General features: G+C 40.9%; 3 long non-coding RNA genes across 5 annotated transcripts in view, besides 1 other annotated feature; 2 read left to right on the forward strand and 1 right to left on the reverse strand.

Annotated features, from left to right (window-relative positions):
- Nucleotides 1-11841, reverse strand: part of LOC105370364 (uncharacterized) — a 26210-nt gene extending 14369 nt beyond the window's left edge. For 2 of the 3 annotated variants that reach the window (XR_931732.3, XR_931731.3), the window contains exon 1: nt 11687-11841. This is a non-coding gene — a long non-coding RNA (uncharacterized LOC105370364). Of the gene's footprint in view, nt 1-45; nt 209-11686 lie in introns of those variants that run through there. The other variant, XR_001750030.2, reaches the window with a different exon arrangement.
- Nucleotides 5155-6354: an enhancer, noted in NCBI's record as "P300/CBP strongly-dependent group 1 enhancer chr13:111617326-111618525 (GRCh37/hg19 assembly coordinates)". NCBI's record gives its function as "activates an origin of replication core promoter dependent on BRD2, BRD4, P300/CBP, MED14 and CDK7 cofactors, with strong dependence on P300/CBP, by STARR-seq in HCT116 cells {active_cell/tissue: HCT116}" and the evidence as "EXISTENCE:reporter gene assay evidence [ECO:0000049][PMID:35650434]".
- Nucleotides 6203-25685, forward strand: part of LINC00431 (long intergenic non-protein coding RNA 431) — a 24576-nt gene continuing 5093 nt past the window's right edge. The window contains exon 1 of the long non-coding RNA NR_126378.1: nt 6203-6295. This is a non-coding gene — a long non-coding RNA (long intergenic non-protein coding RNA 431). The remainder of the gene's footprint in view (nt 6296-25685) is intronic.
- LOC124903213 (uncharacterized) lies at nt 16387-17416 on the forward strand. The gene is made up of 2 exons (XR_007063875.1): nt 16387-16808; nt 17103-17416. It is a non-coding gene; the product is annotated as an uncharacterized LOC124903213 (long non-coding RNA).

Here is a 25685-nt window from a genome sequence, read left to right on the forward strand (position 1 = left end):
AACCCACCAGCCTGGCATGCCAGCAAAAGGGAAAGGATTTCTTACCAGTCAGACTTCTGGCCTCTCTCGTTCTCTCTGTGCAAACCATTCTCTCTCTCTGTGCCCGTTGAATGAATGGTAAAAATCAGTTTATCTCTTTCTATAAAGTTTTGATTAATAGGAAAAGGGATTCGTAAGGCTAGTCTTAAGCTGTAGTAAATCTGGTGTGCTTTGCATATTTTTCTGTATTGTTCTGTCATAAAGAGGGGTAACTTAGGATAGAATGCAGGCTTAGGACCCCATAAGCCTGCTGTTCAAAATGGCCTTGCAAACTGGTCAGTAACAAACTTTGCTGCAGGTCCCTGAGGAAAAAAAAAAACTGAATAAAGTTTTCCTCTCATCTTGTTTCATGTCCTTGGGAGCTTGACCTTGTAACCATATGGCGGTACTTTCTCTTGGTCTCTGTCATCTGGAGAATAGGAATTTTGGAGTTCATGTAAGTTAGCCCTAAAAATCATCTCAAGCAGTTAAAAGCCTTCACAAGCTCAAAATCTGCTGCTCTGGGCTCCTTCTGATAAGAGCAATGGAGACTGCCCAAGGCTGTATGTAGGTCAGTAGCTAAGGCTTTCTCTCTTCACAGTGGCGGCCCAGGTTCAGGGCTCAATTCCTGTCTTAAAAAATAAGTCCTTTCTGGTTTAATATCTGTGTAAACATTTGTTAATTCTCTTCCCCTCCACAAATGGTTTTAAATTTTCCTTTCTCTAAGCTCCTGGGAGTTTACCTTTGGTAAAGTTCAAAAGCCAGAAATACTGGCCGTTTGGCCTGGCTAAAGTTGGGTAATAAGAAATTTAAAAGGTTTTTTTTTTTTTTTTGAGCTCAGTTGGGCGTGGTGGCTCACGCCTGTAATCCCAGCACTTTGGGAGGCTGAGGCGGGCGGATCATCTGAGGTCGGGAGTTCAAGACCAGCCTGACCAACATGGTGAAGCCCCTGTCTCTACTAAAAGTACAAAATTAGCCAGGTGTGGTGGTGCATGCCTGTAATCCCAGCTACTCGGGAGGCTGAGGCAGGAGAATTCTTGAACCCAGGAGGCAGAGGTTGCGGTAAGCTGAGATCACGTCATTGCACTCCACCCTGGGCAACAAGAGCGATATGCCATATCAAAAAAAAAAAAAAAAAAAAAAAGAAAGAAAAGAAAAAAAAGAAAAAAAGAAAAATAAAGAGCTCTGTGGTTAAAAATCAGCTTAATTAAAAGCAGATATTCAATTTCTAACCTGCTGGAACTCCTTGGGAAAAACAGAGGAGGCACCACAAACCCCATTTTGGAAAAATTCTGTTTTTCTCATAAAACCCCAGGAATTAAGAATGGATACGTCCCTCTCAAAATCTAAGGCTCTATTCTATTTTACTTTGTGTTATCTGACATTTATGACTTTTGGGGGTATCAAAAATTACTTCACATTATAAAAAAGCTTTGGTGTATAATAACTAGGTAAAAAATGTAATTTTATGAATGGCTAATGGCAGTTATGGGGGGATATGCTGCTCTTTGCACATTTGGATCAGAGAAGCATGCTCTTGGCCACCTAAAAGTTATGGAAATGTGTCCCCTAACACACACACTAAGAGATAAGACTCCCATGGGGGAAACGCTGATCACAGAATGGGCTAATGCTCTCTTTTTAGAATCCAAAATCTGATATAAAAATGAGACCTTTAATTTTGGGGGATTTGTTTTGTCTTCCAGCTGTGCCTGCTTATTAGGCTGTAGAAACTGTTTTCCCAGCCCCATTTCTCCAAGGGCTCCACCCTGAAGCCAGTAATCAAATTAAAAAATTGGCAAATGAAAAATCTTACATGCACTAAATATTGGTATGTGTTCCAAAATTATGGAAAACTCTTATAATTCTAATAGGACTTCGTGTACATTATCAGTAATAATTATAATTGTTGTGTTATTGTGTGACGCTGAGGTAAAAAATTTGTTAATTGTGGTTTTGACCATGGCTACCCTAAGACTTTGCCATCCACAAACAATTGTCTTGTGCTAATCTCCTTCAAAAGGTGGTTTTATAATCAACTATAGGACTTTAACAGGTATGCTTAAATGCAGGTTTCTAATAACTTTGGAGATTGTAACATTAGAATAGAGGAAAAAAATTTTCAGCACTCATGGACAGCTAAAATGTTCATAAATATCAAACCAGAGTTATGCATGGACCAAACTAATAGAAGTCTAAAGTAGTCTTTTATCCCTTGTTTTGTTTTTCGGAGTCAAGGAAACTTTTCTTTTAAGCTATTTACAGCTTTTAACAATTAAGTCTACTCCTGTGAACAAAAGTTGAAGCATATTTGCCTCTCTCTACCTGATTTCTTCAGAATTTGGAAACTATTTGTAAGTATTCTTATGGCAATACAGTTATTTGCATAAGTGAAATAAAAATCTGCTTTCTTTTGCAACAGGACACAATTAAAGAAACTGGTTATTTTACCAAGGATTTCACTGGAGTGATGTGCTTTCCTTTAAGGAATCAAGCTTAATTTACAGAGCCAATGAAAACCCTTTGGGGGCTGGGCACAGTGGCTCATGCCTGTAGTCCCAGCATTTTGGGAGGCTGAGGTGGGCAAATCACATGAGGTCAAGAGTTCAAGACTAGCCTGGCCAACATGGTGAAACCCTGTCTCTACTAAAAATACAAAAATTAGTTGGGTGTGGTGGCATGTGACTGTAATCTCGGCTACTTGGGAGGCTGGGGCATGAGAATCACTTGAACCTGGGAGGTGGAGGCTTCAGTGAGCCAAGATTTTGCCACTGCACACCAGCCTGGGCAACCGAGCAAGACTCTTGTCTTAAAAGAAAAAAAATCCCCTTGGTAAAACTGGCCTCATACCTTGTCTACATAGTCCCTGTACAGGGTTCCTGACCTGTGTTAAGTAAAAAATGTCACTTTCTGACAGGCCCAGGAGCCCCAAGTTATCTTAAAACCTCAAAAGAAAAAAATTCACCCAACTCATATAGGTATTTGAGGATACAAACCCATGTCTGAACTCTGCTTTTAAAAAAACTGTCTTAACTGAGATTCCTTCTATGGAACAAAATTCCATCAAAGCCAATTTTAAAAGCCTGTGTGAATAATAATTATTCTTGCTGCACTTTATACAAATAATCAGGCCAAGTATAATAAAGCAAATCAGTCATACCACAATTTGTCTTTGGTAAAAATGGGAGATGGGAAAGAAAAAACATTATGTTTCAAGAACTATGGTGTACCTGTTATTAAATTCTAGTCTCATCAGTTGTTTTTAAGTTTTTTTCCTGCAATTTAGACTAACTTTTCTTATTCCTGTGAACCAACCAGTGATCTATGACTGCTGCTCAGAAGAAACAAGATGTATGGGTAATGTAAAAGTCTAAATCAATATTCTAATTTTGGGCATGTATTAAAATCAGCTAGCAATCCCATATCAGCTCAGTTTCAACAATTGCCCATTTCATAAAATGCCTTCTAATTTAGTTTACTTGGGATAATTTTACTTATTTTGCTTTACTGTTGTAAAACATATTGCCATTGTACTCTTTGTGTAAAAAGCAGAATAAGCTTACCAAATGTTCTCTTAAATTAAACACTTATTAATCTTCCAGATATCACCTTTTGCTGGAACTCAAAAGTTATGAATGGCCCTTGCCACACCAATGCTTTCTAATTAAACTCCTCTCTACCCTGAATGCAAGAAACTCAATAGTTAGGAATATCATTGCCCCTGTTCAGCCTAAAAAAATTACAAAAGATGGTCTTTGACCCTCTACAACTCTTAGGATTAAGGGTTCTCCTATAAAAGAGAGGGAGGGAAATGTCAGAGGTGTTTGAACCAGAGTAACTCCATCTTGAGTAAGGGCTTGGTAAAATAAGGCTGAGACCTGCTGGAGTGCATTCCCAGTAGATTAGAAATTCTAAGTCACGGGATGAGATAGGAGGTCAGCACAAGATCCAGGTTGTAAGGACATTACTGATAAAACAGGTTGTAGCAAAGAAGATGGCCAAAACCCACCAAAACCAAGATGGTGACGAGTGTGACCTCTGGTCATCCTTACTGCTACACTCCCACCAGCACCATGACAGTTCACGAATGCCATGGCAACATAAGAAAGTTACCACATATGGTCTAAAAAGGGGAGGTTTGAATAATCCACCCCTCCACCCCTTGTTTAGTATATAATCAAGAAATAACCATAAAAATGGGCAACCAGGAGCCCTTGGGGCTGCCCTGTCTATGGAATAGCCATTTGTTTATTCCTTTATTTTCCTAATAAACTTGCTTTCACTTTACTCTACGGATTTGCCTCAAATTCTTTCTTGCATGAGATCCAAGAACTCTCTTGTGGGGTCTGGATTAGGACGCCTTTCCGGTAAGACCTGGAAGCTTAGAAACATGTTCTGGGGAAATGGGAAACAGTTTGCAATGCTATGGCTGCATCATGAAGACCTGGCTTCATGGCTCTGTTTTAGGAGGGGCAGGACTCAGAGAGACGGGCCACCCCCTTTCTCCTCCTTCGTAAGCAAAGTGATTTCAGGGTGGCCCCATTTGCAGATAAGAGGTGGAGTCATGTGGGTGAAATGCTGATGTCTGGAATGTGGGTTATTCACAGGACCTGTGGCCTCCTGACCTGTAGCCTCAGCTGCCTGGCTGATAGCAGCTGACCCTGCTGAGTGACTCCGACAGTGAATGGTGATTCTGAGCACTTCTTTCTCCTTGTTAGCCCCCAAACAATGGTTCCTTCCTTCTGCCATTCACAGTTTTTCTTTATTGGAGGTGTGGTGTCTCAGTGTCCTGGGGCATTGCTTAGGCTCAAGGTCAAGGTCAAGGTCAGTCTCTTCCTCCAGCCCCGAGGTTGGGCTCAGCAGGGCCATGCACCTTCCCTTTCCTAGTGCACAGAGCTTTCCAGTGGTGTCTTCTAGGATCTGAAGTTCCAACACTAAACCAGTGACAAAGCTGATTTCCAAATGGCTTTAATGACAGACAATCTACACACCAATCAACTAGTCTGAGCACATGAAGGCTCAGAACAATGAGGACAAATATGCAAAAAGGTCTGAGATGTGATGACAATTGCTTCCCAGTATGCTGACCTTCAGTAAATGAAACAAAGTATGGTTCTCTTTGGATGAGACATTAATGATCATTAAGAATGGGTACGGCTGCATCGTGCAAGTGCTTTGTTAAAAATATTCTTTTCATTTTGTGTCTGTCCCGTAATTATAATGGAAGTATTGTGCAAGTCAGCCAGTAAGCATGTGCAGTAAAATATTTGGGTTTTATAACATCAGTGTGGTTTTTGAAGTTCATTGTCAAGTGGAGTGGCTTTGCCATATCCTTCATGTGTCACCTCTGACTTCAGCCTCACGGTTTAAGATGAACCATGATGTTCATCTTAATGATGAATGCTGTGTAATCATGATGTTAAATATGAGTTATAAATTTCTCTTCAAAGAATTAATATGACAGTATGTTCAATTCTTTGCCTTCTACTTTTAAACTTAACTTCCTTGTAAAGCAACCTTTTCTGATTATCTACTCCACCCTGACTCATTCTCCACCTTGACTCATTCTGATTACCTACTCCATCCTGACTCATTCTCCACCCTGACTCATTCTGATTACTTACTCCACCCTGACTCATTTTCCACCCTGACTCATTCCGATTACCTGCTCCACCCTGACTCATTCTCCACCTTGACTCATTTCATAACCGTTTTTCCCTCCAAACAACTCACCCTGTCACTCTCTTTAAATTACTCAATCAGAATTAGTTTAGCCTGTACGGTCTAACCCTAGCCAATAGGGGAATGACAAAGCAGTAGGGACCATGTGCATAAGGAAAAATAACCCCTTTCCCTCCTTTGTCCAGGTGTGCACTCACCAGTCCTCCATCTGTAAGGGCATACCCTTCTATAGAAGTACCTTGCCCTGCTGAGAATTAAAAAGAAAATTTTATATTCGAGTGCTATTTCTTTTGTGGCACCGAAACTTTACTTATAACAATTTGGGGGCTCATCCGGGATTACATTCCCCTCCGGGGGTGGTCTCTGGTTCTCTCTTGTGAGGAGGTGCACCCCACCCCACTGTGGCGGCCTCAGGGGTGAGAAATCAAGACCCACCCAGTGTGAAGAATAACCTGAGCTCTCAGCTACATGGAAAGAAACTGGCTAGCAACCTAGCTTAAAGCATCCTCCATAAGGGCCACACAAGTGTGTGCATGGACCGAGGAAAAGACACCATGGGAGCCGGTAAAGTATTTCCTTGGTGGTTGGGAGCAAGGTAAGAAAGCCGTGGCAGGGGGTGGTGAAGTACTCCTTGGTCAGGGTGGCTTAGAGGTTAAAAAGAGGTGAGACATCCCCATTGGCAGGGACTGAACCTCACACAAACCTCCAGTAATAGAAAAGGCAAGTATGTTCCAGTGGTGGAAATTGAACCTCACCCCGAAAGGCAAGAAATTTCCAGTGGGGGGAATTGAGCCTCACCCCAAAAGGTGAGAAATTTCCAGTAAGGGAAATTGAACCTTGAACTCTACCCCAAAACCATCAAGATGGGAAATACCCCAAGCAAGACAGGGAGCAAGAAGGATAAAGATGGTAACAAAGATATCCCCCCAGATAGCCCCCTAGGTCTCATGCTAAAATACTGGAAAGATAATGAAAGGATAATGAAAGGATTAAACATAGGAAAAAGCAACAAATGATAAAATATTGCTGTTTTATTTGGACTCAGGGACCCATCCTCAGACCCTCAATCTTCTGGCCAAGGTTTGGATCAAATGAGGGTGTAATGTGTCAGCTTCTAATCTGATACATTAATGATAAAAGTCCAGTGTCCCAAGAAGAACTAGGCTATGCCCTTTGTTGGAGGGAAGGACCTGCCCTTCTTTTTCCCTTAAAAACAGATAGGGAAGAACCCAATCTAGCACATCAAAATTAAAAGTCAGAGGAGCCAGCTCTCATGCCTAAAGACTCCAGTGCATGGGATCCCCTAGACTATCTTCCCCCATTCAGTGTCCTCAGTCTTTCCCCTCAGACAGCCATTGCCGCCTCAGATCCCTTTCCAAATTTCCCCTCTACTCACGTTGTCCCTCCTCCTTATAACCCTGACTCTTGGGAATTACTGTCCCACCAGCCTGTTCCCTCCCAACCTAAATATCCCTCTCCAAAAGGACTCTAGTGTGAGGTAGAACAATGTAAAAAAGATATTCAGAATTTCCCATTTCTCTCTGTACCTAAGAGGTCAGCCCTGACCCTCTTCCCTTTGAAAGAGGTACCACGAGGTGGGGAGGGCCATTGGCTTTGTAAATGCTCCCTTAACCAGTTCAGAAGTCTGGAATTTTAAAAAGGAGCTTAAACCACTACTAGATGACCCTTATGGAGTGGCAGACCAAACTGACCAATTCTTAGGACCTCAGTTATACACTTGGGTGGAGTTAATGTCCATCTTGGGCATCCTCTTTTCAGGGGAAGAAAGGAGTATGATTCACAGGGCTGCTATGGTAGTTTAGGAATGTGAGCACCCTCCTGGTGAAAACTTTCCTACCGCAGACCAGAAATTCCCTGCCCCTCGAGACCCCCAGTGGGACAATAACGATGCAGGTCACTGGGAAAATATGCAGGAACTAAGGGAGATGATAATAAAAGGAATTTGGGAATCAGTACCCTGAACCCAAAATCTTTCTAAAGCATTTGTTATACAACAGGAAAAGGATGAAGGGCCTATGAGATTCCTAGACAGACTGAGGGAGCAAATGAGGCAATATGCAGGCCTCAATTTGGATGATCCCTTTGGGCAAGGAATGTTGAAATTCCAGTTTGTCACTAAAAGTTGGCCAGACACTTCAAAAAAGTTGCAAAAGATAGACAATTGGGAAGACCGTCTGCTAAGTGAGCTCCTCAGGGAAGCTCAGAAAGTATATGTGAAAAGGGATGAAGAAAAACAGAAACAAAAGACAAAACTTATGTTTTCCACCTTCCAACAGATGGCTCCAAACCCAGGTACTTCTAGACAGAGTTTCCAGGGAGCCAGAAACTATAAAGGGTCTAAACCCTATTTTAAAGGACCCAGCCTCCATCTGGAGGACCAAGGTCCAAGTTTACCAGGCCCCCTAAAGAGTATGGGGGAGCAAAGTTAAAGAATCCCAGAACTAAGAGGAAGGAAGGACAAGATAAGTGCTATAGATGTGGAAGAACAGGCCACTTCAAGAGAGGATGTCCTGAACTAAGAAAGGAGAAAGAAGCCCTTCCACTCATGACTTTCAAGGAAGAATAAGGGAGTCAGGGGCTCTGTCTCTTTTATCTTGAGTCCCACCAGGAGCCCCTGATAAATTTGGAGGTGGGACCTAAACATGAGCTTATCACTTTTTTAGTTGATTCAGGGGCTGCTCACTCCTCTGTTTGTTTCCCCTCGTCTAATGTTGTCTCCTCCTCAGAGGAACTTTTAGTCTCCAGGGTAAAAGGGGAAGGGTTTAGAGCAAACATTTTAGAAAGCACAGAAGTTAGATACGAGGATCACTCAGCTCATATTCAGTTCTTGTTAATCCTTGAAGCAGGAACTAATTTACTGGGGAGGGATTTAATGTTAAAGTTGGGCATAGGTCTACAAGTCAGCCCAAGAGGATTCCTCACTTCATGAAACCTACCCACCAATGCGGATGAAAAATATATTAATCCTAATGTCTGCCCAAAGAAGGAAACTGAGGGAAACTCCAAGTCCCTCTGATCCACATCATGCTAAAAACCCCGGGAGAAGTAGTAAGAAGGAAGCAATACCCTATTCCCCTAGAAGGTAGGATAGGGTTGAAACCTATAATCAAAGGCCTTATTAAGGACAGGTTTCTCAAGCCCCGTATGTCTCCATATAACACCCCAATACTGCCAGTCAAGAACAGACGGGTCATACCGGCTAGTACAGGACCTTAGAGCTATCAACCAAATAGTCCAGACTACCCACCCCATTGTCCCCAGTCCTTACACCATTCTTAGCAAGATTCCATATAATCATCAATGGTTTACTGTAATAGATTTGAAGGATGCTTTTTGGGCATGTCCCCTGGCTGAAGACAGCTGATATATTTTGAATGGGAGGATCCCCACTCAGGGCGGAAACAACAATATCAATGGATGGTCTTGCCTCAAGGGTTCACAGATTCCCCTAATCTTTTTGGCCAAATTTTAGAACAAGTACTAGAAAAAGTTGTCATCCCAGAACAAATATGCCTTCTTCAGTACGTGGATGACATTCTTATACCTGGTGAAGATACAGAGAAGGTAACTGACTTCTCTACACATATTCTTAACCATCTGCAGTTTGAGGGGCTACAAGTCTCAAAAAGAAAGCTTCAGTATGTAGAGCCCGAAGTTAAATATTTAGGCCACTTGGTAAGTGCAGACAAGTGAAGAATAGGGCCTGAATGAATCGAGGGAATCATGTCCCTACCCTTGCCTCAAACTACCAAGAATGAAAAACTTGCCCAGCAGAAGCCTAACCATCTCCTGTGGACTTCTGAGGAAGTTTATCAAGTTGAGGAGCTGAAGAAAAGGCTCATAGCTACCCCTGCTTTAGCCTTACCCTCCCTAGAAAAGCCATTCCACCTTTTTGTTAATGTGGACAGTGGGGTAGCTTTAGGAGGCTGACTCAAGAACACGGAGGCCACCAGCAGCCTGTAGCCTTCCTATCAAAGGTCTTAGACCCAGTCACTTGTGGATGGCCTCAATGCATCCAGTCTGTCATGGTTACAGCAATACTAGTCGAGGAAAGCAGAAAGTTAACCTTTGGAGGAAAATTGACAGTAAGCATGCCTCACCGAGTTAGAACTATCTTAAACCAGAGAGCACGGAGATGGCTTACTGACTCAAGAATCTTAAAGTATGAGGACATTCTGTTAGAAAAGGATGATTTAACATTGACCACTGATAATTCACTCAATCCAGCAGGTTTCCTAACAGGGAATCCAAATCTAAGGAGGGAACACACATGTTTAGATTTTTTAGACCAGACATAGGAGAAACCCCCTTCTGGACTGGACAGCACTTATTCATAGATGGTTCCTCCTGGGTGATTGAGGAAAAAAGACAAAATGGGTATTCAGTGATTGATGGAGAAACTCTTACAGAAATAGAATCAGGAAAATTGCCCAACAGTTGGTCTGCTCAAACGTGTGAGCTGTTTGCACTCAGCCAATCCTTAAAGTAACAGAACCAGGAAGGAACCATCTATACAGATTCCAGGTATGCCTTTGGAGTGGCCCATACATTTGGGAACATTTGGACTGGACGAGGTCTCATTAATAGTAAAGGTCAAGGCCTTGTTCACAAGGAGCTGATCACTCAAGTATTGAATAATCTTCAGTTGCCGGAAGAAATAGCTATTGTCCATGTTCCCAGCCACCAGAAAAGCCTTTCTTCTGAAAGTCGAAGAAATAACCTAGCAGATCAGGTAGCTAAGCAGGCTGCTGTGTCTTCTGAAATGCGTATTTTTCACTTAACTCCCTGTCTCCCTCCTCTTACAGTAATCCCCATTTTCTCTTCCACTGAAAAAGAAAAACTAATAAAAATAGGCGCTAAAGAGAATTCAGAAGGAAAATGGGTACTGCCAGACCAGAGAGAAATGTTGAATAAACCCCTTATGAAGGAAGTCTTACCCCAACTACATCAGGGGATCCATTGGGGGCCCCAAGCCATGTGTGATGCAGTTCTCAGAGTTTATGGTTGTATAGGGACTTTGTATGTCTGCAAGGGGACAGAGATGGGGGAGAAATTAAAATACGGACTGGGTATTAGCTGCTATAAGGATTTTTGTTAATTTTGTTAGTGTGATTATGTCATTGTGGATACATTAAAAACAGTGCTTTAATCTGTTAGCAAGAAAACATTTTACATGAGGTGATAAGACACCTGGGGCAGTGCTAAAATATTCCTGATAATGACAAAAGTGTGTGTGTGTAGAAAAAGCAAGATGGAAAAATGTGCACAATTACTGAAACTGAAGGATGAATATGTGGGTGTTCATGGTATTCTTCCTTGACTTCCTGCAAGTTAGAACATTTCCATAAAGTAACAAAAAGTTAAAATATATAATGTATGTATGGAGTTCTGAAATTATAAATGGCTTCAAATACAGAAAAACTTCTTAAATTCCTCCATTGCCCAAGGAATAAATGTCCAGTGGTAAAAAATTCAGGGAGATAGGCAAGGATGATGTCTTCATCTATTTGTTCTGCTATAACAAAAATACCTGAGACTGGGTAATTTTAAAAGGACATAAATTTATTTCACATACTTCTGGAGGCTGGGAAGTCCAAGATCAAGCCACTGGCTTGTTTGGTGTCTTGCAAAGGCTGCTCTAAGCATCCACGATGGCGCCTTGTTGCTGAGTTCTCTGGAGAGGAGGAACCCTGTGTCCTCACATGGTGAAAGTCAAGAGAGCCAAATGCTGCACAAAGCCTCTTTCATAAGGGCCTTAATCCCATTCATGAGGGAGCACCCTTTTGACCAATCACCTCTTAAAGGTCCCACCTCTTAATGTTATCACTATCAGTTTAAATACCTGAATTTTTGAGGGGACACATTCAAACCACAGCAGAGAAGGACTCATGGGAGAAGAGACTGTCACCTGCCTGATTCAGACCCATGGTTTTCTGTTTGCCCAACCATCTACTTGGGACTCTACCTGAATTCATTCTTATTGGCCAGGTCTTCACTTCTTGCCAGCAGCACAGCAGGAGGACAAAGCAGAGGGTCCCGTCTCCTTGGCTCACTGCTGTGCTCCCTCCAGCTGAGGGAGAAGGACCTTATAAAAGTCTTAAGTGTCCCAGCCTTGGTCTCCAGGACAGTGTGGAATGTCAGGACCTGTGACATCATGACCAGGAAGGGAGCTGCTGGCATCTTGCCTGGGCTGAGCAGAGTTTCTATCCAGTCTATGACTGGGTAGGAGGGAGGAGGTTGGTGGGAGTCTTAAGGTAACAGAGATCCTCTCTCCCATTGCTTTTTATGGTGACTTCCTCCATCCTGAGGACTCTGAAGACTGAAGGGGTAGACACTAATTAGAACTCTAAGTGCCAGTAGCCAAAAGCCAACAAAATCTGCTCCCATGGAAAGAGGTGTATTTGAAGGATGCTGGAGAGGTCATTGAGTTACAGAGCAAGTGCCAGAACCAACAGATCCAGAGGGTCTAATCACCTCTTAAAGGCCCCTTGAGGAACAGAGCCTTGAAGAACAGAGGCCCGTGGCCCCATGTCCCTTTCCACTCTCTCCCACCCTCAAAGTTCCAGGGTGGTGAAGAACAGGAGACAGATGACCCAGGTTTCAGCATCCTTTCCCTCAAACCTTCTTTCTCAGCATCAGTCCCAATCTCCCCTTGGCAGTGAGACTTTCATCACAAGAGGAGAACATGGCTGCATTTCCATGTTATCATCCTCCCAGCTTGATTTCCTAGACTTTCTAGAGCTTTCTTCATCAGCACAGTGACAAACCCCAAAGGAGTCACTCTGGTTGACCCCCCTGGATCCTATCTCACCCCTGGACTGACTCCTATGTCCAGGGCTCAGAGTGGGGCACCTGGTTTAGACTGGGCCAGGAGTGGGGTCCCGGGTGAACAGCCCTCAAATCTCAGCTCCATGGTAGAGAGGGAGAAAGAAGTGGTCCTGAATGTACAACCGTGCCTCCTGAGACCAGGTCAGGACCCTAAGGATGGCTTGACCACCAGGGATCTTTGACCCTATTTTTTTATTGCTGATATGGGGGTTTGAAAAGACTTTCTCACTTTAAACATTATTTTTCACCTCGGAATTCTTGTTTGATTCAATTTCAATTAGCTGGGCTTTATGTTTTATTATTACATTTTCATTTCCCTTAAAATGAATGCATGGATATTATAATCTGTGACTTCACTGTGTATCATTCTAACAATGAAATGATTGGGAATGATACACTTGGCTCAGGCTGTCTTTTCCTCAGAATTTCTTAAAAATAATATTTTATTTTTTGGAGTAGTTTTAAGTTAACAGAAAAATTGAACAAAAAGTTTCCATATACCTCCTTATAAATTTTAGAGAAATACTGAATGTTGCTGTGGAGAAGTCTGAGGCCAATGTGATTACCGTTCTCTGCTGTGTGAGATTTACTTTGCTGTTTGAACACGTGAAGTATTATTTCCTTATCTTGAAGTTCAATAGCATAATTAGGATTTATCTTGATGTTTTTATTCCCCATTAAGTTTCACAGAAAAAAAGGTATGTTTGATATGCAAATTTAAACTTTTAGTTTCAAGAACTTCTCTTATCTTAATCTTTGCATGTACCATCAGGTATCTGTTTGGTTCTTGACTCAGGGACACTGGTTTTTCTTATATTGGACTTTCATTGTCTGTCTTCAATGTCTAATAGCTTTTCACTGACTAATGTTACTCCTTTGTCTTTTTCACTTCTATTCATTTTGTTTTTGTCCATGCAAGTCATTTAATTTCTAGAAATACCTATATTATTTCTTGTTTCTATTCTCTATTGTAATATTGTTAGATCCTCAATTTAATTATGCCCCTCTATATCAATTCTATTGTGTTTTGTTCATCTTTGGGCTTTTTTGTAATGTGTCAGTTTTTCCATCCCATGAAGAATTGAGAGGACTTTCCTCTGTCTTTTGTATTGTGTTTCCTCTGTGTTGTTGTTTTGGTTGGCCTTTTGCCTGGTATTCTTTTTCTTTGATTGCTATTGTTTTAATAAGTTTGTGCTATTCCGTGTATTTCTTTTCACTTTGCTTGTATTTGGGCATGTCTCTCAGATGTTATTATGATACACAGTGAATGACCATTTGGTCCTCTTCCAATCTTCTTTAAGTCATATTTGTTTTCTCCTCACATTCCTGTACCCTATTCTAAGCAAGAGTTTGAGGACTGGGTTGTGTAGGCTGCCTCATTTTCTATGGCCTAAAGAAATGGAGTTGGGGAAAGAGGGTGGAACAAAGAAGGTGCGGTAATAATGTCACATTTTTTGAATTTCTAAGTTCATAGAACAAATTTCTGCTCCCGAAAAACATGATAAGAAAAAATAGAGGTTTCAAACCACTGGGAGGAGATGAGATCATTAGACCGTTCATCTTTATGTAACCAGACTCCTCAGTTAAAGGTCATTTTCAAAGCACACCTGCACTTGTTTTTTTCTTATGAAAATATCCTGTATATCCTTAATTTGGCAATATAAATGTGACCAATTGTTTTAAAAACAGAAGTGATGCTGGATATTAAAATGTAAACTGTTTTCTAAATGAAAAACTTAAAGGAATGTAATTAGAGAAGTATAAACAGTGGTTAATATGCTGCTTCTTGAAAAGACATATTACAACTTACAGTCTTTCTTCATAAGTGTATGTTGTTACTGTTTAATCAGGAGTGTGATTGTATTCAGCTGTTAAGCAATCCTATTAGCTGGGAAATTGCATTATTATTTGCTGGTCTGTTTATGTTATATTGTTGTTGGCACTCTAAGTTTCTCTTTTTTCTCCAAGCCTTTCTTACTCTGGTCTCTGTAATCTGTATAATTGTCTTTTTTAACTTTTATCTTTAGAAAATATTGAATAGAGATACTGGGAGTGATTAACTGTGTCAGAATCACAAAGTTCTAGTGCTTTTCAGATTAATCCTGGAGACATTATGTTGCTGTTTTAAAAGACAGAAGGACCTAGATCCATCATGGAGTGCCACAGCAGGGTTGTGGCCAATGGTCCTTCCTGCCTAGGGAGAATCCACAAATGGTATCTAGGAAGACCTGCTGCTGACCAGACCAAGGCCACTTCAGTGCATGACATCTTCTTGGACTCATCAACCTTGACCTCAATGGTCAGAGATCTCTCTACTAGTAATTCTAAGTGTTGGCAACAAAAATGAAGAGAGCAAAATAGGGAGTGCTCTCTATTCTGGGGAAGCAACAGTGGAAGATTTGCCTGAGTAAGAAAATCTCCTAAAAGTTTTCTGTGTCCATCTAAACATTCATACATTCATACATACTTCATTCCTTTGTTCATTCATTTATTTTCCTTGTCTTCTCATAGAATATGTTTTCTGAGATCAGGTTACTATGTTGCTGTTACAGGAAATCGGATTAATTTTAAATTTCTATATGCAATAAAACAAAAGCCTTTGACATCTCCCTTTTATTTTCAACAGTTAATGAGTTTAGAAGCTCATTGATACGGTTTGGCTGTGTCCCCACCAAAATCTCATATTGAATTCCCACGTGTTGTGGGAGGGACTCAGTGGGAGGTAATCGAATCATGGGGGCAGGTCTTTCCCATGCTGTTCTTGTGGTAGTGAATAAGTCTCATGAGATCTAATGGTTTTATAAAGGGGCGTTTCCCTGCATGAGCTCTCTCTCTTTGCCTGTCACCAGCCATGTAAGACAGGACTTGCTCCTCCTTGCCTTCCACCATCATTGTGAGGCCTCCCAAGCCACATGGAACTGTGAGTCCATTAAACCTCTTTTTGTGTATAAATTACCCAGCTCTGGTATGTCTTTATCAGTAGCATGAAAATGGACTCATACACTCAGTTTTAAAACAAGTTACATGAAGTTGCAGAGCTCTTTAAGAAAGCCATGACTTGCCCAGACAAATCAGTACTAGTGTGTTAACTGAACTCAATTTGATTTTTCTGGGCTTTGCTTTGTATTGGCCCCTTCTTGTTAAATAAAAATAAGAAATTAAATAAAAATGTTAACAAATAGTTTTGACAAAACTGAATATAATACACAAAACATTGTGATGCAGCTTAAAATTTAAAAAGAAAAAAAGAACAGCTTCAAGAGAATTAAGTACTAATTAAGTACTAAGAGAGCAATCATCAGAGCTAGATACAAAACATCTAATATCTTTTGAGAAACATTCCTTATGTTACCCAATTCTTCCTTACACATCTTACTGGCTAATTGAGAAAGCAATGCATTAAAATCACATTGAAATGAATTAATATGATAACTGGAAGCAATGAGAGGTAACTGAGACATAATTGCAAATGCAGAATTTTTTTCAATTTGAAATTGAACATTTAACAACCAATTTGGAATTTTCTATTTTTGAAAATCCAGTAGCTCTTGGAGTGAATAGACCAAATGACTCCATTTTAATAGGTCTCATCATTGATCTCTGCTTATGAAATTTGCTTCATTGCCTTTGTGTACCTGAGACTGAAATGCAGAGCTGTTCTGGAGCCTCCAGGTAGTCCAGGATTTCAGTGCAAACTTGTCTTACACAAAGAGGTCTGTAAAAATAATCTGGCTGCTATGATTTGAATGTCCTCTCCAAAACTCATGTTAAAGTTTAATTGTCTTTGTGATGGTATTAAGAGATGGGACCTTTAAGAGTTAATTAGGTCATGAGGGCTCTGCCTTCCTGAATAAGTTAATGCCATTATCATAGGAGTAAGTTTGTTATCTCGGGAATTCAGCCCCCTTTCTCTCTGTGTCTTGCACCTGCCTCACCATGTGATGCCTTCTGCCATGTTAGGATGTAGCAAGAAGGCCCTCACCACCTGTGGCCGTACAGTCTTGGACCTTCCAGCCTACAGGACCCTGAGACACACAAATCTCTCTTCTTTATAAATTACCTAGTCTATAGTATTCTATTACAGCAGCAAAAACAGACTAAGACACTGGTCTTTTACTTTTGATTTTGTTTCTATTGATTTTTACTAGGTACATCTAATTTCACCTCTTGAAGATGGCTGACATGGTCACTGAACTGAAGCTTTGTGGTGAAGAAACTATTAAGCAAATGGGGAGGAAGAGCCATACAATTTCACTTTAGTGAGGAGCTAAGAACTAATTTTATTCCAAAATCAAACTCATGCCAAAAACGGGCCAATGCAATCATTTAGGGATAAAGAACCTAGAGTTTCAGGCATGAGTGGAAATGTGCTGAGGGGTCCAGAACATGCCACTCCAAAAAAACCCTCCTTGGCATAAGGATTGTTTTGAGCTGAAGGCAATTGAGAATCAACAGATGCAGGAAAAATTCTCTACCCTTTCTTTTGTGCCTAAAAGCAATACATAAACTTGTCTTTGTGAAAATGACATGAGTTTTTCCCTCTCCTGAACCAGGATGAAGAGAGCTACCCTTATCACCACATATGGAGAGCCAGCACCAAGATGAGTCAGTATAAAAAGACCTTACTAAAATAACCCTTACTTTCAGTAGTTTCCTGATATATTTGCTAGTCACTTTCCCACAAGTTATCACCCCTAGAAGCCTAAAACCCTTCTCCTTTGTCTAGTCACTTCTTTAAAATTTATTGCCTTTTGTTAAAATGGTATGTAATCTCTTAAGCCTAACTGCTTCTTTGTTTTTTTTTATTTTTTTACTTCTTTTTTTTTATGAAGCCCTTGTGCACACAAAATTAAAAATATTAATACTATTTTTATGCCTTTTCTCCTGTTAATCTGACTTTTGTCAGTTTTGTTCACAGACTCCAGCCACTGATCAAAAGAGGGTGGAGGAAATGTTTTCCAACCCTACAATGCACACTGTATCTCTGTGCAGCATACACCTCTGTACGACAATTTCCCTTGTTGTTTGCCTGAAGACACATGAGCTGCAACTCTGAATCGGGAAATAGAACTTCAATCACTTTCGTGGAGCAATTGGGGAATGAAACAACCTTGCATGCTCCTCTGAGGAGTATGCCATGAGAGCTCAGAGGCTACTATTATTGGCTGAACATTGGTGTCAAAATCTTGATTGATGTCCAAATGCTTCTGGTCTCATCCTAGACTTGTGAGGTGTGATCTCCATAGGTCTATTCCCATCCCTTTCCCCTCCACCACGCCTAGTCCCACATTCTTTTCTGCATGCAGTGTGCTCTGCTCTATTGATCACCTTAACCCAGCTGTGCGCACTCTTCCACTTGTCCTGAAAACAGCACACCCACGTAGCCTTCTTCGGTGATGTCTGGGCCATGTGTTGGTGTTGTGCACACTCTTATTATGATCATTTGAACTCTTATAACACATTGTTTAACACATGTGAAAACGTAAGACAAACTTGCAGGTTTCAGTTATTTAAAGATAAACCACGATATAAATGTTCATATCTATTCAATATATTTAAGATAAGCACTTCAAATTCTCATTTAAATATCTTAGTCTTGCTTCATCTATAAAGTCATAACTTTATTAGTTAAAATGCTTATTTGGATAATTTCAGACTTTCAAAAAGGTTGTGAAAATTGTACAAAGATTTTCTAAATACTCTTCACTTAGATTCCTGAAATATTCCTACATTAGCATTCTCTCTCTCTCCTCTCCTCTCTGTCTCTCCTCTCCTCTCTTGTCTGTCCTCTCTCTCTCTCTCAAGGTTCTACAATTACTGATCCTGACACTTAGGATGTGAGTTTAGGTAGAGATTTGGGAAGTTCAAGATTGCTCATCATTTTATCTGGTAATGTCTTTTGCTCAAGTGACACCTTTTACTTCAACTGCTATTGTTTGCCTCACTAGTTTCACTTGTGGGATTTTTCAAAAATGCATCATGATTGATAGAGTTAAAATTAATCTTTCTTGATGTAAAGCATATTGTGTTCATTGCTGTGGGCCTGCTATGTTTAGTATTGCAATGCCAGTGGGTTTATATCACCTACCAGTTTATCTTGTTATAACTCATCTGACTGCTTTATCTCTGTGAGGTAGCTGTTTAGAGCTTGGGTTCTGAAGTCAGATGATTTGAGTCTGACTCTTGGCTTTAGTTCCTGAATCCTGGACAAATACCTTCACCTCCCTGGGCCTTCCCTTCCACATCTTCCAGATGTGCACATGGTAGTGCTTATCTCATAGGATTTTGTGTATGTGTGAGGATTGAGTCAGACAAATAGGAAGTGTTCAGTATGTTGTCCATTGTTACATTAATCTAAAAAGAACATTGGATAACATTTGAATATCTTCTGTGCCTAAAATGTCTATAGCCTTTCTCTTATTTATTTGTAATTCTCTGCTGTTTGAGTTTCTGACAGGCTCTATATTTCTAAGCTTTTATTTAGTCTTGATTAATTTTAGTGAAGTTTTTCTTCAATTTAGTCAAAATAATGTATTTACCATAGGAAGTTAATAGTTAAAGATAATTGTTATGTTTGATCTTTACGTAATTAAAACTTGAGAATTTTATCCTTTCAGTTCCTATGTAGGTTAGTTTTTCCTCAATATGGCTAATGTGGGTGGTATCTTGGATTGAAATATCTTATTTCCTCAAGTGTACAATCCATTTTAAATAGCAATTTGTGTGGTTGGTAACCATTAACTTGATAGAAACGTTAGGTCTGAATCTGTCTCTACAAAATTCATGTGTTTGGAACTTAATTTCCAGTGGGGTAGTGTATTAACTCATTTTCATAGTGCTATGAGGAAATACCCAAGACTGGGTAATTTATAAAGAAAAAGAGGTTTAATGGACTCACAGTTCCACATTGCTGGGGAGGCCTCACAATCATTGTGGAGTGTAAAGGAGGAGCAAAGGCACATCTTACATGGTGGCAGGCAAGCGAGCGTGTGGAGGGGAACTGCCCTTTATAAAACCAGCAGATCTCATGAGACTTATTCACTATCACGAGAACAGCATGGGAAAAACTCAACCCTATGATTGAATTACCTCCCACCAGGTCCCTCCCATGACACGTGGGGATTATGGGAGCTAAAATTCAAGGCGAGATTTGGGTAGGGACACAGCAAAAACATATCTGGTAGTATTAAGAGGTGGGATCTTTAGGAGGTGATTAAGTCACGAGCATGGAGCTCTTAAGAATGGAATTAGTGACCTTACAAAAGATGTGTGAGGGAGCTGTTTGCTGCTTCCACCTCTTCTGCCAGGTGAGGATGCAGCAACAGGAAAACATGTTGGAAGCAGAGAGAAGTCCTCACCAGACACTGAATCTGCCAAAACCTTGATCTTGAACTTCCCAGCCTCCAGAACTGTTCAAAATAAATTTCTGTTCTTTCTAAATTATCCAGTCTGTGGCATTCTGTTATAGCAGCAGGAATGGACTAAGACAATTTTATTGAACATCTATCTAAAGAAATGCTACTTCCTTTACTCAAAAATAAAACATGAAGTTTCTGCGGGTCAGGAAGACCTCTTAGACCAAGTCATTGGTCTGACTATGAGATTCAACTTCCAGGATCCTTTTCTGAGTCTTGCTTCTCTCTCTCTGCTAAATTTAAGCGCTCCTGTTCACCGTGGAGTCACTATGTTTAAGTAGAGCCCTGCGGCTCTCACACTGCATGTCTGTTTGGATGCTCTTGGGGGCCTTGCAGGAGTTTTAATGTGGACTGATGTAGGCATGAGGATTCTCAGAGCCCCATGGTATGTTTGCCGTGCAGTGAAACTTGAGGACCACGGCCTACCCAACCTCTGATTCTCTGCAGCAACCCCCAGGGTCACGTGGGGACCTGCAAAGTTTGTTCTAAAATTGAGGTGATGAGAGGGGGCTGAGTTCGGAGTGCTACCTCCTTCCACACCAGCTCTACACACTCATCTCCCCTCCACACTCACACTCCTCTGTGCAGTAGTGCAGGCTCCAAGAAATTCCCTTAGAAAGAACTCCGCTTAACTTTGCTCTATACAGCATTTCCAAACTTAATATCAAATTAGTGCTGTGGTAATACGTGGGCTTATTTTATTAACACATTAAATAAGGATTAGTGGCTATTTCAAAACACCTGCAACAGCTTAACATGTGAAATATATGGTTTCTGTTGGTGACAAAGGTACGGGTACCGTGGTTTGTTAGTTGCATTTATAATTAAAGGAAGAGCTAAATTTCAAATAAAAATTACTGAAAATAAACATGAGATTATTTTTTATCCCAAATTCACAGACCCCCTCCCAACCCCACCTTCCTGCCCCATGCTGCACTCTCTGTCCATGGGCCCTGGTTAAGGGAAACCCAAGTTGGAACAGGACTCAGGGCTTTTCTTTGACCTGGCTTTTTACAAACACAAGAAATGCATGGGCTGGGCATGGCGCTGGTGTGAGAGCTGCACTTTCTGTAGTGACCCGAAGCCTGAATTCACCTCGACCTCCAGTTCCTCCTGCCTGGGAGCTGGTGAATGCCCGTTGGATCCATTGGAAGGGGTGAATCTCCCTCTTGGCTGTCTCTGTCCAGAGCTGTTCCTCAGGGACTTCCTTGCATTGGGCTCCTGCCAGTCTCAGGGACTTCTCAGTCTCTCTGTTGATGGCCCATCAGAGCTCACTCCACTTGTGAAGGCTTTCTCCTGTCATCCTTCCTGGAAGCTCTTTGAATACCGACCACGGCTGAGCACTGCACTGCCTCCCTGCCCAGCTGCCACTGGGCTTGGATGATTTTCAACCTCAACATGAAAGGGAAACTTTCAGATGGCATCTGGGCTTTGCTATTTCTGGTGTGGTGTCATTAAAAGCTGCCTCAGTCTAGCATCTGTGATTTCACTTTTTGATATAAAAAAGATATGAACTGTTAGTGCAATAGTGCAGAGAATGATATCCAACTTTTATTTTATGTATATATTTTATTTGTGTCTCATAAAGGGGTTCAGGACACAATAACCCAAAGCATGGCACTTTGACATTTGAGAAAACAGCAGAAGCAGGAAGGTCTCTCTCATCTTACTCTGCCCTTCTACCCTAAAGCAGGTCATGAGACCCTCATTCAAGAAGTACACACCCTATACCCAAAGAAAAGAAACATTCTTATCTCTGAAGACACAGAGACACACAGAGAATAATCTGAACACACCAGTCTTACTAAGCCACCCTATGCCTCCCAGGTTACCACCGTTCGATCACGCTCCCTTTGTCCAGCCATACTTCCCCGAGACTGTCTACTCTTCATCAAACCTAGCATAAAAAACATGTTTCCCTATTTCTTTGGGTCTTTATTTCTGAAGACTCCCATGTCACATACAAATTATATTAAATACACTTGTCTGCTTTCTTCTTCTTAATCTGTCTTATAGGAGCCTCAGGCATAAACTTAGCAAAGGGTGAGAAAATATGTATCTTTTTATTCCCTACATTTGTATTTATGTTGAAATGCAAAGACAGGCAAAAATAGAGGGCTATACGAATTCAGCAGGATTCTAAATTATTAACTTGGAAAGTACTTTCAAACTCTGGAGGAAAGTTTCTAATTACTTTTGGAAGGAAAGGCAGTATTATGTAAGAAAACCACATTTTCTATCATGCATTACTAAACTAACTACGGAAGTCACATCCTTATGCCTTTTTGTAGCTAACATTGTTTCTGACCCCTAAGAACTGACTGAAGCAAACAGATCAAGTTGATTCAGTGTTAGGTAAATAGGAGGGTGGTGAGATTTTAAGATAAACTTACCAGAGCAAGAAAGGATCAGTGCTTCAAACAGGTGCAAAACAAGTAGGGGAAAGGTAGAATTAAGCACTCTTGTTTTCAAGTTACAAAACGTTCACATTTGTTTCTAATGTTTACTTAAACACTCTAATACCCTAAAAAATCGACATCCTTGAATTTGAAGGTCAGTAAAATATAAATAACACAGTTACTGCTTTTTGGAATATCTCTGTGGATTCATTCAGCACTCTTGCTATTTATTTATTTATTTATTTATTTATTTATTTATTTATTTATTTATTTTGAGATGGAGTCTCGCTCTGTCACCCAGGCTGGAGTGCAGTGGCGCGATCTTGGCTCACTGCAACCTCCGCCTCCTATGTTCAAGTGATTTTCTTGCCTCAGCCTCCCGAGTAGCTGAGACTACAGGCGTGTGCCACCACGCCCAGCTAATTTTTGTATTTTTAGTAGAGATGGGGTTTCACCAGAGTTCCAGGCTGGTCCGGAACTCCTGACCTCGTGATCCACCCGCCTCGGCCTCCCAAAGTGATGGGATTGCAGGTGTGAGCCACCGAGCTTGGCCGCTCTTGCTATTTTATTTCTTTTATTGTTTTGCTAAGAATTTTAAAAATTTAAATGTTTACCATATAAAATATCTTACTGCCTTGGCATTTTTATACCATACATCTCAGAATATTATAATTTGTTAGTTTATCTTGTAAATTATCCCTTGTTATACAGAGAATCTGACCAACTCACCCATTCCCTGGTCCAGTTGCCATTTTATTTTCTCTAGGAGATTTCTCTTTGGAGAAATATCCTGGTAGCTGCCTGCATGATTGGCAAATTGAAGTTGGAATTTTTTATGGTCTGTATTAATTGATCTGATTCTTAGAAATTAATTCCCTTCCTAAGAAAAGTACCCTCTTCATTTCTGCTTTTTGCAAGGAGTCATTGGCATTTGTCCAACAGTTAATGAGAAATTATTATATAATTACATTTAACTTTTTTCTCAATTCTTTCTGTGTTTGACATAATGTTGAAAAAGAAACTTGAATGGAAAATGCATCAATAAAATAAAAGCATATTGCAATTATATTCTGACCTTGGCTTTTCCCTCTATATTTCTCACAGGTTAATTATATTCTAAAGCATACCAAGCTCTTCGTGTTTGCTGCTGGAGTGACTGTGTGTTCCCTTGCCCTTAGATGAAGAAATGCTTTCAAAACCTCTGAAGATGCCTGAATGGTCTGAGGTTCTAATGGTTTACATTTTCTTATCGTTCATATGGATAAAAATATGGCTGCATTCCAACTGTCAAGATACATTTGTGTGTTGCCTATAAAACTAGCTCTTCTGTTTAAATGAAGAGCAGATAAAAAGCATGTATGCAATTAGTCTAATCGGTTCAATGGCAAATTACAGAGCAAAGATTGTGGTAGGATAATCTTTCGGATTATTCATTCTGAGTTTAAAAATGTTTTGGCTTCTAACAGAAATCCTTTAATTATATGCTAAAGTGGTGATAACCTCATTACAATAGTTTTGCTTATTCCTCAAAGCATTTATTAGTTTACTTCTTTAAAATTTGAAAGTGACTATAAAGTTAGGAAGTAAACATTTTTGAAAGGATCAATTAATGATTTAATAATTTGAATTGTTCTCCAAAGATTAGACATGGCAATTGAAAATAAATGTAGAAATCTCTTCCCTATGCTCATCAAAATTTTGACATGTATTCATATGCCTACTTATAAAGGAGATTGGCAGCACATAATTGATACCATCTAGCCTTTATTTACAGCAATCAAACATAAGACCTTGACAACATTAACATGCCCTGTGTGCATGTGTGCACATACTCATATATACACACACTCATATATACACACCCACACATATAACACCCATACACACACATACATATACACACATATACACACAGATACATAAACACACACATACTCTTCACAGTCTTTCTAGGTGAATCCCCCAATCTAAAATGGCCTCCCTCCACACACCCTGTTTGTTTGTATTATCTCTAGCTTGCCTTTGCTTTTTGTCATTGCCCAGGAGTGCCAAATGCACCCAATTTCATCTTCATTTGTTTATGGGCTTGTCTATCTCCCCACTGGAACAGTGCCCAGGGGGGATAGTGGCTGTTTCTGAATTGTTCACTGCTGTATCCTCAGTACCTAGATCAATGCACGGCTCACGATAGGTGCTAAGAATTTGTTCAGTGAATAAGTGACTGTTCCCATTTGGACTTAAGCTTGTGCAGGGAAAAAAACAGACTGCTTTTCCTCTGCTCTCACCCCACAATCAACACAGAAGACTTCTATGGCCAAATGTGTGCATTTTTCCCCCCATATACTAAGCAATCAATCTGTTCCACAGCAGATGCCAGCTGGGAGTCCTCCAGCCCAGGCAGTGCTGAGTCTACTGGAGATAGCGTCAGACCCCACGGAATGAAGGCTCAGTCCCACAAGACTGCCTCCACTTCCGGTGCCAATCGCAAACCCCAGGTTGTTCACTTGTCTTCTGACTGACCAGCTATAAATCAGGGATCCCATGGAGCCGCTCATAGAACTCAGGAAATCTCTTATGTTTGCTAGTTTATTACAAAGGACGTTACAAAGACTGCAGATGAAGAGGTGCACAGGACAGGGCATGGGAGAGGGGTGTGCCACCCTCTAGGCACCTCCACGTGTTCAGCTGTTTAGGAAAATCTCTCAAACCCTGTTCTTCCTCTCCTCTCACACCTCAGCAGCCATCAATGCAGAAGACTTTTGTGACCTAATGTGGTGGGGTTGGTTTCTTCACATAGCAATCAGTGGACACCAGCTGGGTCCCTCTAATTCAGTTCTAACGCTATCTACTTGGAGGTAACCTCAGATCCCACAGGTTGAGGCTTAGTCCCCAAGACAGCCCGCCTCAGACACCAGTGGCAAGTCCAGGCTCTGAAACTTCTGACTGACTGGCTGGCTATAAATTGGGGATACCAGGACCCTCTTTGGGTTTAATTTGTTGGAGTGGCACACAGAACTCAGGGGAACACCAACTTGTGTTTACCAGTTTATTGTAAAGGATATTACAAGGATACATCCATCAAGGATACAGATAATGAGATGCGGAGTGAGGTATTGGGGAGGGCACAGAGCTTCCACGCCCTCCGTGGGTATCACGCTCCAGGACCCTACCCAGGCTCAACCACCCGGAAGCTCTCTGAACCCTGTCCTCTTGAGTTTTTATGGCAGCTTCATTATGTAGGCATGATTGATTAAACCATTGGCCATTGATGATCAACATAACCTCCAGCTTCTTCCCCTCCCTGGAGATTAGGAGGTGGGAC

The sequence above is a fragment of the Homo sapiens genome, chromosome 13 (assembly GCF_000001405.40).
Source record: "Homo sapiens chromosome 13, GRCh38.p14 Primary Assembly".
Classification (NCBI taxonomy): Eukaryota; Metazoa; Chordata; class Mammalia; order Primates; family Hominidae; genus Homo; species Homo sapiens.